Source organism: Homo sapiens, chromosome 9, assembly GCF_000001405.40.
Source record: "Homo sapiens chromosome 9, GRCh38.p14 Primary Assembly".
Classification (NCBI taxonomy): domain Eukaryota; kingdom Metazoa; phylum Chordata; class Mammalia; order Primates; family Hominidae; genus Homo; species Homo sapiens.
The window spans coordinates 88,051,015-88,064,289 of NC_000009.12; the positions used below are offsets into that span (position 1 = coordinate 88,051,015).

The window sequence follows — 13,275 nt, forward strand, 5'->3', positions numbered from 1 at the left end:
TTAAAATTCAAGAGTTTTTCCCTCTATGAGCAGGTATTTTCATTTTTTAGCAGAAGCTAAGTGTGTAGGTAGAAAATTGAGGTGCATGTCAGAAATTTCTTTTTTTTAGGACATAAAGATAGTTCAACTTAAAAAAAAAGGAAGAGAAATGAACCCCATCCTTTGCCCAGCGGGAATCTCATTGACCTAATGGAAATCAATAACTGCTTTCATTTCCTGCAGATTTACTTTCTATAGAAATGTGCCTTTGTGGAGCATGCGGCAGGGCAGCCCCGGGCCTGTGGTGAGCACTGGTAGCGGCTTGTGGGGCTTGTTAGCCCTGAGCTCCCCTGGCTGTGCCGCTGGCGGGTGGTCCCTGTGTTCTGCAGTTAGCACCTCAGAGTAGGAAAGCAGGTGAGGAGGCCAACCAGAGACCTGCACAGGAGGCCCTGGGTGCTGTCAAAACAAAAACTGGGCTGTGCGCGGTGGCTCACACCTGCAATCCCAGCACTTTGGAAGGCTGAGGTGGACAGATCACCTGAGGTCAGGAGTTCGAGACCAGCCTGGCAAACAGGGCGAAACCCCATCTCTATTAAAAATACAAAAATTAGCTGGGTGTGGTGGCATGCTTCTGTAATCCCAGCTACTCGGGAGGCTGAGGTGGGAGGATTGCTTGAACCCAGGAGGTGGAGATTGCAGTGAGCTGAGATCACACCACTGCATTCCAGCCTGGGCAACAGATTAAGAGTCAGTCTCAAAACAAAACGAAACAAAAACTGTACCAGACAGTCAGACAGGTATAGAATACTTTACTCCAGGCTATGACCATGGGGGAGAGAGGGCAGAACCCAGTCTGAACTCAACTTTGCTGAGACAAAGGGCAGAGGGCTTTTAAAGGCCTGTAGCCAGGCACGATGGCTTACGCCTATAATCCCAGCACTTTGGGAGGCTGAGACAGGAGGATCACTTGAGCCCAGGAGTTTAAGACTAGCCTGGGCAACATGGCAAAACCCCATCTCTATAAAAAATACAAAAATTGTCCAGGCACCGTGGCATGCACCTGTAGTCCCAGCTACTAGGGAGGCTGGGGTGAGAGGATTGCTTGAGCCCAGGAAGTGGATGCTGCAGTGAGCTCAGATTGTGACATTGCACTCCAGCCTGGGCGACAGAGCAAGACTCCATCTCAAAATAAATAAATAAATACGTACATAAATACATAAATAAATATTAGTGGGAATGGTGGCATGCACCTATAGTCTCAGTTACTTGGGAGACTGAGGCAAGAGGATTATGTGAGCCCAGGAGGTTAAGGCTGCAGTGAGCCATGTTTGTGCCACTGCACTCCAGCCTGGGAGACAGAGACTCTATCTCGAAAAAATAAAATAAAATAAATAAAGGCCTGCAGAGTGGACTCCTCGGGCCATCTGTGTGTGCTAGTGGGCTTTACCCAAAGGAAAAGTAAACTTCTCACATCTCTAAGACAGGAAGTAGTTTTACAGCTTGGAGGTTAGGCTCCTACCCTCTCACAGTCACTGGGAGATTATAGTTCAAAGAAAGGGTTTCTAGGCCCTTAAGAAAGATATTCCTGGGTTGTAATGCTGGCAAGAGGCCTTTAAAAACATTTTACATACACCTCAAAGGGACAGAGAAAGAACTTACAACCAGTTTTCTAAAGAAAACGTTCTAAGAAAAGATAAGTCAGGGCCCTGGAGGCAGGAAGAAGCTGTCAAGCAGAGGGCATGTTACGGCCACAGTGGGCCATCACCCCATCCCCCACCCCCAGCTGCCACAGCTGCGTCCCTGGTGGAGCTGCATCCCAGGCAGAGGCTCACTGGCCACTGGAGCCCTCTCTGTTTGGGTTTGTGTCAGGCCAGAGCTGCCCACTGGCCTTCAGGCATGACCAAGGAAGCCAGAGCCCAGTGGGGAGATGACTTTGGGTTGCACATTCCACCCTGTCCCCAGAGCTCCTATTAAAGGATAATATCTTCATGACACCTGCGAAAGTTTGGTGGGGACCGTCACTGCAGGTGCAGGAGATGCTGCACTGGGGTCTTGTAGTGGGCGAGAGAGATTGAGCCCAACTCTGAATAGAGCATGGGCAGGGGGGATTTTACAGCCAAGGAGCAGGGTGGGGGTCAGCGGATGGAGAATTGCTAAGAGGAAGTGTCAGGGGTGAGGGGGATTCTGGCTAAACTGACCTAATAGGATTCTCGCTGAAGACAGGCCAGGGTGACCAGATGTCACCTGAAACCGATCAGATATGGAGGGTGATCAGATATCAAGGGTGGGGGTTCTAGCCAAACTGGATCTTACAAGGTCTAGGAGAAGGTTCGGGAGCCTGACTCAAGTACCGTCAGGGCAACAATCTTTGTCACTTCCCAGTGGTCCCTTCCTGCCTCCTCCCCTCCTTGCGCAGAGTCTCCTCTGAGAGAATCCAAAGTAGCTCCTGACCTTGGTCAAGGTACTGGGCTAGACATGGGGGAAAGACTTGGATACTCAGGGTAGGGCAACATCACCAAGAGGGAGCAGTGGCTGCCTCTTATTTTGTCCAGGAGAGAAGCAATTACTTGGCTGATCACTGGCCTTTAGTGCAGAGGGCCCCAGTGGTGTGCAGAGCACACCAGATATTTTTGGCTCCAGGCATAAAAAGAAGGCTGATTTTGAGCACTTATCTGATAGGTAATCCATAAGCCACACTGCAATGGCTGGTTGGGTTGGCACAGGTCTATGTGCCCTGGGTGGAGGGAAGGTGCCATTTCCCACCTGCATGTGGGTCCTCTGAGCCCACAGGCTTGGTTCTTCAGTACAAGTAGCTACAGGGTGGCAGGAGAGAAGGTAGCCCAGATGGTTCTGCACGTCTCTGGTTTAGCTACTAAAGGACTGAGTACACAAACAGACAATGGTCAGACTATATAAAAAAACAGAGCCCTGCCCCACAGTCTGCAGCAAGCTGCCCAGGAAACCAATGTTTATCTACAGGAACCAGCCCAGGCAGGCAGGCTGTCCATTACAAGTCAGACTTCTAGGAAGTCAGACTGCTATCTCTAGTGACAATCCAGGAAGCCAACCAATAACTCTCCTGTAACAGTTGGCCCCAAATGGCCAGGGCTTGATCGGTAACTGACAGCTTCCCATTTTTTGTTCCTGCTTCCAACTTAGGACCAACCAGAGAATGCCAAATATGCTTGTCACATTTGACCTCAACTCCTCCTCCCACCGTTGATTCCGTATAACCAGGAAAGGGGCCAACACACTTGCTAAATGGCCACACGTGCTTCTGGGAACTGGCTGAGCTTATGGCCTTGGCCGGTCTAGAGGCGCTAGAATGTGCTCCCTGGTCCTGCACACAGACACGGACTTGAAAAGGCCAAGCCCTTCCAACACCTGAGTCATTTGCGCTGCAACCTCTGCAGCTGGGACGGGAGCCCAGGTGTTGACCACCTGACCCAGGCCACCCAGGGGTATCCAGCCTGGAGGGGAAGTCACCTCACTGGGAAGATCTTCTCTTTTGGTTTGATCTGAATTCAACAACAGCTTTCATGTTAAGAGCAACATCTGTAACTATGATGCTCCTCCAATGACGGAGCCTGGGTCCTGGGCACTGGGTGGTGCAGACGAAGCTGTGAGAGAGCTCAGTGCTTCTTCTGTGATACACAGAAGGGTGAACGCAAGTATCTCAGCGCTGTGCCTTTGAGAATTCGCCCTGCCTCTGCGAGACTCAGCTTCCTCACATTTGAAGTTGCTACCACTCTGGTTTTATGTTGAGCTTGAGCAAGTGTGATTTGGGAGCCCCGGGAAAGGCTGTCCATTGTCAGTTATCACTGTCGTCTCTGCATCAGTGGCCATGGGGCAGGATGTGGGACTTCTGGGGGTGCAAGAGGTCACATGATCCTGGCACCCAGGGGGTGCTGGAGGGGCAAGGTGTGGGAAAGAAGCGTGTGTCGTGCAAAGGGCTTGGCAGCACATCCCAGAGCCGAGCACAGGGCCCGTACAAAATGAGGTTTGTGGGAACATGCTGTGAGCAGAGGAGCCGCAGAGGGCTCAGGGCCCTGGAGCTCTTCCATCTGCAAAACGGTGCAGAAGCAGCAGGAGATTGTCCTGGAGGGAGGGATCCTGCCCTTGGGACCCTGCCCCATGATGCTGGGAACATCTGTGAGAGAGTGTAGCAGGGAGTACCTGGTCAAGGCCAGGGCCGGCTCCTGGGCTTCTGTTGAGCGACGTCGGCCTCCCTGCCTGGCTTGCTGAGATCTGGATTTGCCTCTCGCCAGAATCCCCACTCATCTTCCACTTTGCCCAGGCACATGGGTCAGTTTGGGCTGCCGTAACAAAGTGCCACACGCTGGGGGACTTAGACAACAGAAATTTATTTTCTCACAGTTCTGGAGGCTGGATATCTAAGATCCAGGCATTGACAGGGTGGTTTCTCCTGAGGCTTCCCCTTGGCTTGCAGATCGCGTCTTCTCCCTGGGTCCTCACATGGTCGCCTTCTGTGCTTGTCAGTGTCCTCATCTCCTCTTCTTGTAGGACACCAGTCATGATGAGTCAGGACCCACCCTAAGGGCCTCATTTTAACTTGATGACCTCTTTGAAGCCACCATCTCCAAATACAGACACATCTGAAGTCCTGGAGGTTAGAACTTCCATGTCTGAATTTTGGGGGAGACGCGATTTGGCCCACGGCACCAGCAACCAGAGGCATTAGGAAGGAGACAGGTGTGAGGCAGGGCGTCAGACTCCATGGCACTGTGTCAGGCTCTCACAATCACACATTGTAGGTGGTCCTCATGCTTTAACATAAAGAAACTGAGGCGAAGGTAACGTAACTTATCCAGGCAGCGTAGTTGGCCAGCAGCGGCCAGCATATCTGAGACTTATTCTAAAGCCCAAGCTCCTCCGCTGGACTTCACAAAGAAGAGTGGGCGTTGGCGATCTGTGGGTTCCCAGATGCAGAGTCGTCAGTACTCAAAATACACCGTCAGGTATGTGTGGTGAAGTTCATAGCCTTCAAAGTTCCAGAATGCCCCTAAATATCTGTTGCTGACAGTCAATGACACAGATCAATTTATCTCATAGGATGGAAGGAAAGTTAAATTATTACCAGGGACCCTTCGATTAGTAATGATAGGTAATTGGCTGGGAGCGGTGGCTCACACCTGTAATCCCAGCACTCTGGGAGGCCGAGGTGGGTGGATCACTTGAGGTCAGGAGTTCGACACCAGCCTGGCCAACATGGTGAAAACTTCATCTCTACTAAAAATACAAAAATTAGATGTGGTGGTGCGCACATGTAATCCCAGTTACTCGGGAGGCTGAGGTGGGAGAATTGCTTGAACCCAGGAGGTGGAAGTTGCGGCCAGCCATTTGTACGACTGCACTCCGCCTGGGTGACAGAGCGAGACTCTGTCTCAAAAACAACAAAAACAACAATAGCAACAAAAAGAAATGATAAGTAATCGTGATATAAGCCATTCCCTTTAGTGACCAGGTGTCTTGTGACCATTCCACAGAAGCAGCTCAAGGTCAGAGGCCAGTCCCTGAAGCAGTGGTGCCCCAGGCTGGCTTTGACACTCAGAGCCCTTTCCAGGGTTTGTGGCCAGCATGGAGGAGGGACTCATCATGGTGCTTAGGCCAAATGTGGAACATTGTGACAATCTGCAGGCAAGCACAGTAGTGGAAAGATGCAGACAGCATGTATTTGGAAAAGGTTGCAGTATTTATCCAGGAAAACATTTATGATCTACAAAGAAATAAATATATGTCTTGGCAAGTCAAGTATCAAAGGCCTACAAAGGGTCCTCAAAGACCTCTTCGTTTGTTGAGTGTTTTTTTGTTTTGTTTTGTTTTGATTTTCTATTTCCTTCCTTCCTTCCTTCTTTCCTTCCTTCCTTCCTTTTCTTTTCTTTTCCTTCCCTCCCTCCCTCCCTCGCTCGTTCCCTTCCTTCCTTCCTTCCTTCCTTCTCTCTTTCTTTCCTTCAATCTTTCTTCTTTCTTTTCTGAGACAGGGTCTCACTCTGTCTCCCAGTCTGGAGTGCAGTGATGTAATCATGACTCGCTGCAGGCTTCGCCTCCTAGCCTCCAGCAATTCTCCTACCTCAGGCTCCTGAGTAGCTGGAACCACAGGCATGCACCACCGTGCCCAGATAAATTTTTTATCTGCAAAGATGTGGTCTTGCTATGTCGTGCAGGCTAGTCTCGAACTCCTGGGCTCAAACTATCCTCCCTTCTCAGCCTCCCGAAGTACTGGGATTACAGGAGTGAGCCACCATGCCTGACCTACCATGTACATTGTAGAATTAGTTTATTGAAATTGAAAAAAACCCACAAAACCTCAACATTTTATAGGTATTCTATAAACCTTCTAGATTATTTTGGGGGTGAACTGATATCTTTACAATGTTAAGTTATCCCTTCTATGGACATGGTCTATTTCTCCATTTACTCTTTTTCTTTTTTTTTTTTTTGAAGATGGAGTCTCACTCTGTCCTTCAGGCTGGAGTGCAGTGGTGCCATCTTGGCTCACTACAACCTCTGCCTCCCAGGTTCAAGTAATTCCCCTGCCTCAGCCTCCCGAGTAACTGGGACTACAATTGTGTACCACCATGCCCAGCTAAGTTTTGTATTTTTAGTAGAGATGGGGTTTCACCATGTTGGCCAGGCTGGTCTCGCACTCCTGACCTCAAGTGATCCACCTGCCTTGGCCTCCCAAAGTGCTGGGATTACAGGCATGAGCCACCGTGCCTGGCTTAGCCTACTCACTCTTTTACGACTTTTTTAGACTTTCAAAATTGACTCCATTAATATCATGTGCTTTTTGGGATGAGTTAATTCCTACCTGCTTTATAATTTTATACAGTTGTAAATTTGTGAAAAGGAACACTTGTGTTTTTTGTTTTTGTTTTTGTTTTGAGTTGGAATCTTACCCTGTCACCCAGGCTGGAGTGCAATGGTGCAATCTCAGCTCACTGTAACCTCCGCCTCCTGGGTTCAAGCGATTCTCCTGCCTCAGCCTCCCAAGTAGTTGGGATTACAGGTGTGTGCCACCACGCCTGCCTTTTTTTGTGTGTGTGTGTGTCTTTATTAGAGATGGGTTTCACCATTTTGGCCGGGCTGGTCTCGAACTCCTGACCTCATGATCTGCCAGCCTCGACCTCCCAAAGTGCTGGGATTACAGGCATGAGCCACCGCGCCCGGCCCCACACTAGTGATTTTTATGAGTTAATATTATTCCTGGAAACCTTTATAAACTCTTGTAATTTTTTTTTTTTTTTGAGACAGGGTCTCACTCTGTTGCCCAGGCTAGAATGCAGTGGCACAATCATGCAGCCTCGACCTCTTGGGCTCAGGTGATCCTCCCACCTCACCCTCCCAGGTAGCTGGGACTACAGGTGTGCACCACCACGCCTGTCCAATTTTATGTAAAGATGGCGTTTCTTCATGTTGCCCAGGCTAGTCTCAAACTCCTGGGCTCAAGCGATTTGCCCACCTCAGCCTCCCAAAGTGCTGGGATTACAGGCATGAGCTGTGATTTGGCCTTACCTCTTCTAATAGTTTTAATAGATTACATGTTGTTCTGTTGAGATTTATATGTGAACTATCACATCATCTGCAAAGAATGACAGTTTTCTCTTTTTTTATTCCAATACTCATTTGGATGGCAATTTTAATTTCTTAATGTCTTGTAACATTGGGTAACACCCCCGGTACTATATTGAAAAATAGCGCTAACAACAGGCATAATTGTTTTGCTTCCAGTCTGAAGGAGAGTCATCTGACATTTCTGAATTACATATTTTTTTTGCTGTGTTTTTAAAAAATGTAATGTTTATCAAGGTGAGGACATTTCTTATTTTTTATATTCTGAGAGTGTATTAATTTAAATCATAAATGGGCATGGAGGAAACACATTAAGAGAAACACCTGCCACTCAGGAACTAGGGAATCTGACCTAGGAGAGAATCACAGGGGATTCCTGGGATGATGGCAAGGGAGGACCTGGAGGGGATGGGGTGGTAATGCGGTGCTGGCCTGCGGCACTGCTGACGGTGTAGGTTAGTGACATACGGATGGCGTGGCCTCGGCTGTATTTCCTCCACCTGGCCTCACTTCATTCTCAACTACTTTCAAAGCCTTATTTCTCTGGCCTTCCCATTGGCTTTAGTAGCTCCCCAATAGCCAGCCCTCCAATATCTTCAATAAATTTCCTTAGGATGGCCAGGAACATTTTCTATTAACTGCACCAAAAACTTAGGTAATACAGAAAGTGAGTTACAGAAAGCAAACTGTTAAAGAAATGTGGGTTGTGTGGGCTTAGCAGTCTGACCTAGTAGTCACAAAAGGTCATGAAAATCCACTTAGTATTTAGGGACACAATGCTGATATGGCATAGGACAGCTTGAGGAAAAACAAAAAGAAACCTAAAAGTCTTACATTCTGAAATTGAGGCACAAAGTGTAACCCAGGGTCCTTTTGAAATGATAAAGTTCAGTCCTGCAGGTTGCTGAATTGTAAAGTCCATTGAGTTTACAGAATCTCAATATCACTTAGGTGAAAGTTAGAGCATTGCTCAAAACTCTAAGAATTAGATTAGGGATCTAGAAGAGAAGCCGAAGCATCTAGACTACTCTCAACCCCGCCTCCCCTTGCCCCCAGGTCCTCCTTACCAGCCCACATCCTGCCCTCATAATATAACCAGAATGACTTTCCTGGCATAAAGACCCTGAAGGCCTCTTGCTCAAGCAAGTTCCATTGCATGGAGAAATGGCTCCTCACTCACCAGTCCTTGCATGTTACCCTGACGATCTCTGAATTATCTTTGATTAGACTCAGATCTTCACATGTCTAGGGAATCAACTGCAAAGTCAAATCCTGGAATAGGCCAGCCTGGGCAACAAAGTGAGACCCCTGCATCAAAAAAAAAAAAAAAAAAAATCATTACAATAGAAAACTCTTGATAGCTTCCCTCACCATTGGCAAAAAAGCCAAAAGCAATAGCAAATCCATGAGGGAAATTCAGAGGATGTTGGCTGTTTGTGACCAAAGATGCATGGATGTTGATTCCTGTCATAGTCCTATTTAACCTCCAGTTTGACCAGCATGAAAAGTGGATGGATGGTAGATAATGACAGTGGATTATGACTCACCAATAATTACAGTTGCTTTTCCAGATGTGAGCTTTTTTGTTTTTTTTGAAACAGAGTCTCACTCTGTCACCCAGGCTGGAGTGAAATGGCGCAATCTCGGCTCACTGCAACCTCCGCCTCCCAGGTTCAAGCAATTCTCCTGTCTCAGCCTCCCTAGTAGCTGAGGTTACAGGCGTGTGCCATCACACCTGGCTAATTTTTTGTATTTTAGTAAAGATGGGGCTTCACCATGTTGCCCAGGCTGGTCTCGAATTCCTGAGCTCAAGCAATCCACCCACCTTGGCTTCTCAAAGTGCTAGGATTACAGGCATGAGCCACCGCGCCCGGCCCCAGAAGTGAGCTTTGTAGTGGAGCAAATCGAAACACACTCAGGCATATAGAATGCAGCTACAGATAAGGAAATTTTTTTTCTTAATCCCAAATTAACAGAAAACAACTGAGAGAGTTTTTTTGACCAAGAAGCACATCTTCTGTGTCTTGCCTCGAGGGTTTCAGTGGTCTGGCTCTCCGCAGCCATCTGCAGTGCACATTCCACAGGACACCATCTGAGACCTGCACCATCCCGCCCTTGAACATCCTTGCAAGTAAGGTTATATGACATAAATGAGAATGGTCCCACACTTTGAGAACAGTTTGGGTTTGGCTTACACACACTCAAGTCTCTGCCATGCCCCACCATGAATGGAGCTGTCAAGAATCTGGTGGATGAGACGATCCACATGACGAAATGAGTCAGCTGCTAACCCAGTGCTTGCTTACTGGACTCATGGATAAGATGGCAAGGAAGGCACTGCCCACTGGGGGTGTTAGCCGTGATTAATTCTGCGACAAGTAGCAGAAGGATATACATGGATGTGGGGCAGGCAGCGGTGACTGTAGAGTACATTTTTGTGGCTACCTAGTAGAAACACTCATCCTGTGCTGGATAATTCCCTGATTTCGGAATAACTGGCCCTTTCCTCCCAGTATGGCACGGAGTGGGCCAGATGCCTGCTGTCCACACTCCCTGCACCATGGCCTGTGGTGTGTCCTCCTGGGACTTGAATCTTGAGGGAGTGATGGAAAGATGGGGACGGTAACATTGTTCATTTGTGGTGGCAGCAGCCAGGCCAAGGGTCCAGGGCCTGTGTGCCCAACGGTCTCCAACTGACCCCTGCAGTGTAAGCATGACTGCCTGGCCCTTCTTCCTTCCCTACTTCTTCTTTTTTTTTTTTTTTTCTTGAGACAGAGTTTCGCTCTTGTTGCCCAGACTGGAGTGCAATGGCGTATCTCAGCTCACCGCAACCTCCGCTTCCTGGGTTCAAGTGATTCTCCTGCCTCAGCCTCCCGAGTAGCTGGGATTACAGGCATGCACCACCATGCTCAGCTAATTTTTGTATTTTCAGTAGAGACGGGGTTTCTCCATGTTGGTCAGGCTAGTCTCGAACACCCAACCTCAGGTGATCCATCTGCCTTGGCCTCCCAAAGTGCTGGAATGACAGGCGTGAGCCACTGTGCCTGGCCCCTTCCCTACTCCTTAAACTGGGGAGAGGTGGTGGGAATGACTCACCCTAGGTGAAGGCAATAAGAGGATACATTCTCAATAAAGAATTTTAAAGGTTGCCCTGCAACCTTTCCACATTCTGTGAGCTACCATGTCTCTTTTAAAAAATATCTCTTTTGGTGGAGAGTGGTGGCTCATGCCTGTAATTCCAGCACTTTGGGAGGCATAGGTGGGTGGATCACTTGAGGTCAGGAGTTCAAGATCAGCCTGGCCAACATGGTGAAACCCCATCTCTACTAAAAATACAAAAATTAGCCAGGCGTGGTGGCGCATGCCTGTAATCCCAGCTATTCGAGGCTGAGGCAGGAGAATCTGTTGAACTTGGGAGGCAGAGATTGTAGTGAGCCGAGATCGTGCCACTGCACTCCAGACTGGGCAACAGAGTGAGACTCTGTCTCAAAAAACAAAACCTCTCTTTATGATCAAGCCAACCAGTTGTTTTCTGAGGTATGCAAAAAAGAACCCTCTCTAACACATTCTCCAACCCAATACTGTGCATTTTTCTGTCTTCAGAGTGATCATTTAGGTATGAATTTTTATGAAGAAACTTTTGTTTGATCTACAGAAATTCCTTACATTTGACTTGTTTCATTTTCTTCTATTAAATTGCAGAAAATTAAATTTGACAGCTTTATTTAAAAATTGCATACATAATATCATCTGATTTTTGTGAAAATTTTTCTATTCTTCTGTCTGTGTTTAGGGATGCATTGAGTGTTGTTCGCTGGGTGCTACCTAATACTGTTGTTGGCTGATGGGAGTTAGGATGATAGTTTATGTTCTTTGTGTTTTTTTCTGTTATCACCTATATTTTTTAAAATTAATAATCATCTATTATTTGAAATAATAATGTTAAAAAAGCATATTCTTAAAAATTTAATAATGTGAAAGAAAGTAGATTACAAAACTGCAGGCCGGGCACAGTGGCTCATACCTGTAATTTCAGCACTTTAGCAGGCCAAGGTGTGTGGATCACTTGAGGTCAGGAGTTCAAGACCAGCCTGGCCAACATGGTGAAACCCCATCTCTACTAGAAATACAAAAATTAGCTGGGTGTGGTAGTATGTGCCTGTAGTCCCAGCTACTCGGGAGGCCGAAGCAGGAGAATCACTTGAACCCTGGAGGCGGGGGTTGCAGTGAGCTGAGATCATGCCACTCCACTCCAGCCTGGGCGACAGAGCGAGACTCCATCTCAGTCAAAACAAGACAAAACCCTGTATATTATGCTGCTGTGCAATTATATAAAGAAAAATGATTGGGAATAATTGCATTTAAATGTTTCTAGTTATTTCTGAGAATTGAGATTTTAGGTGAATATCTTTATTCTTCTTTTCTTTTTGAGACTGGGTCTGGCTTTGTCACCCAGTCTGGAGTGCAGTGGCATAATCTTGGCTCATTGCAACCTCCACCCACCAAGCTCAAGCGATCCTCCCACCTCAGCTTCCCCAGTAGCTGGGACCACAGGTGTGCACCACCATGCCAGGCTATTTTTGTTTTCTTTTGTTTTGTTTTAGTAAAGGCAGGGTCTTGCCATGTTGCTCAGGCTGGTCTCGAACTTCTGACCTCAAATAATCCACCCACCTCGGCCTCCCAAAGTGCTGGGATTACAGGCATGAGCCACTGCACCTGGCCTATAGGTGATTTTTAAAATAGCTTTTATAAATTCTAAGTTTAAAAAAGTTAATATATGTATTACTCCTTTGTATTAGGTCAGGGTTTTCCAGAGAAATGGAACCAATAGGATCTGTGTATATATATATATAGAAAAAGATTTATTATAAAAAAAAATTGGTTCATACAATTGTGGAGGCTGAGAAGTCCCAAGATCTGCATCAGCAAAAGCTGGAGACCCAGGAGAGGTGGTGGTATCTATAGTCTAAATCCAAAGGCAGGAGAAGACTGATGCCCCAGCTGAAAGGCAGTCAGGCAGAGAGAGCACATTCAACCTTCATCCACCTTTTTGTTTGACTGAGGCACTCAACAGATTGATTTGATGATCCCACATTGGGAAGGGGCAACTGTTTCCCTCTCTCCACCAATGCAAATGCTAATCTTATCTGAAAACACCCTCACAAGACACACCCAGAATAATGTTTAACCAAATATCTGGGTACCCCATGGCCCAGGCAAGTTGACAAATAAAATTAACCATCACACTCATTATAATGAAAAAAAAGTCACTGAAAACACACAGAGTGATCTTTCAAAAGAAGCATTTGGACAAGTTGAGTGGCTGTTTATTTGAAAATTTTTACCAAGTGTTGGGGGAGGGAACCACACGTTGAGACCTTTCTCAAGACATCAGTAAATATTCTAGATAACCTCACATCTTTGTGTTTGTGGAGGGTATTCAGTATCAGAAGTGGCGAGGTAGAGAGTCCTGGGATCCAAGCAACCTCTGTTTTGATTTTAATAGCTTCTGTTCTTGGAGTTCCCAGGGTCAGCCTGCTATGGCACTGGGTACTTTTTTAGATGTGTGGAGGGGGTATGACTCCTGTCTCCAGATGAAGAAACAAAAGGTCCAACACAAATAAAGACAGAAGATTTAAACCCAAGTTTGAGTCAGCATTTGAAAGGAAAATAAAGAATGGTTGCTGAGGTGGTTGAGAACTT

The 13,275-nt window shown here is 47.0% G+C and overlaps 1 protein-coding gene across 1 annotated transcript in view; it reads right to left on the minus strand.

Annotated features, from left to right (window-relative positions):
- Positions 1-13,275, minus strand: part of LOC124902201 (syncytin-A-like) — a 40,433-nt gene that overhangs the window by 13,547 nt on the left and 13,611 nt on the right. The window contains exon 5 of the mRNA XM_047424307.1: positions 8,753-8,880. The gene's annotated coding sequence lies outside the window, so the exon portion shown is untranslated. The remainder of the gene's footprint in view (positions 1-8,752; positions 8,881-13,275) is intronic.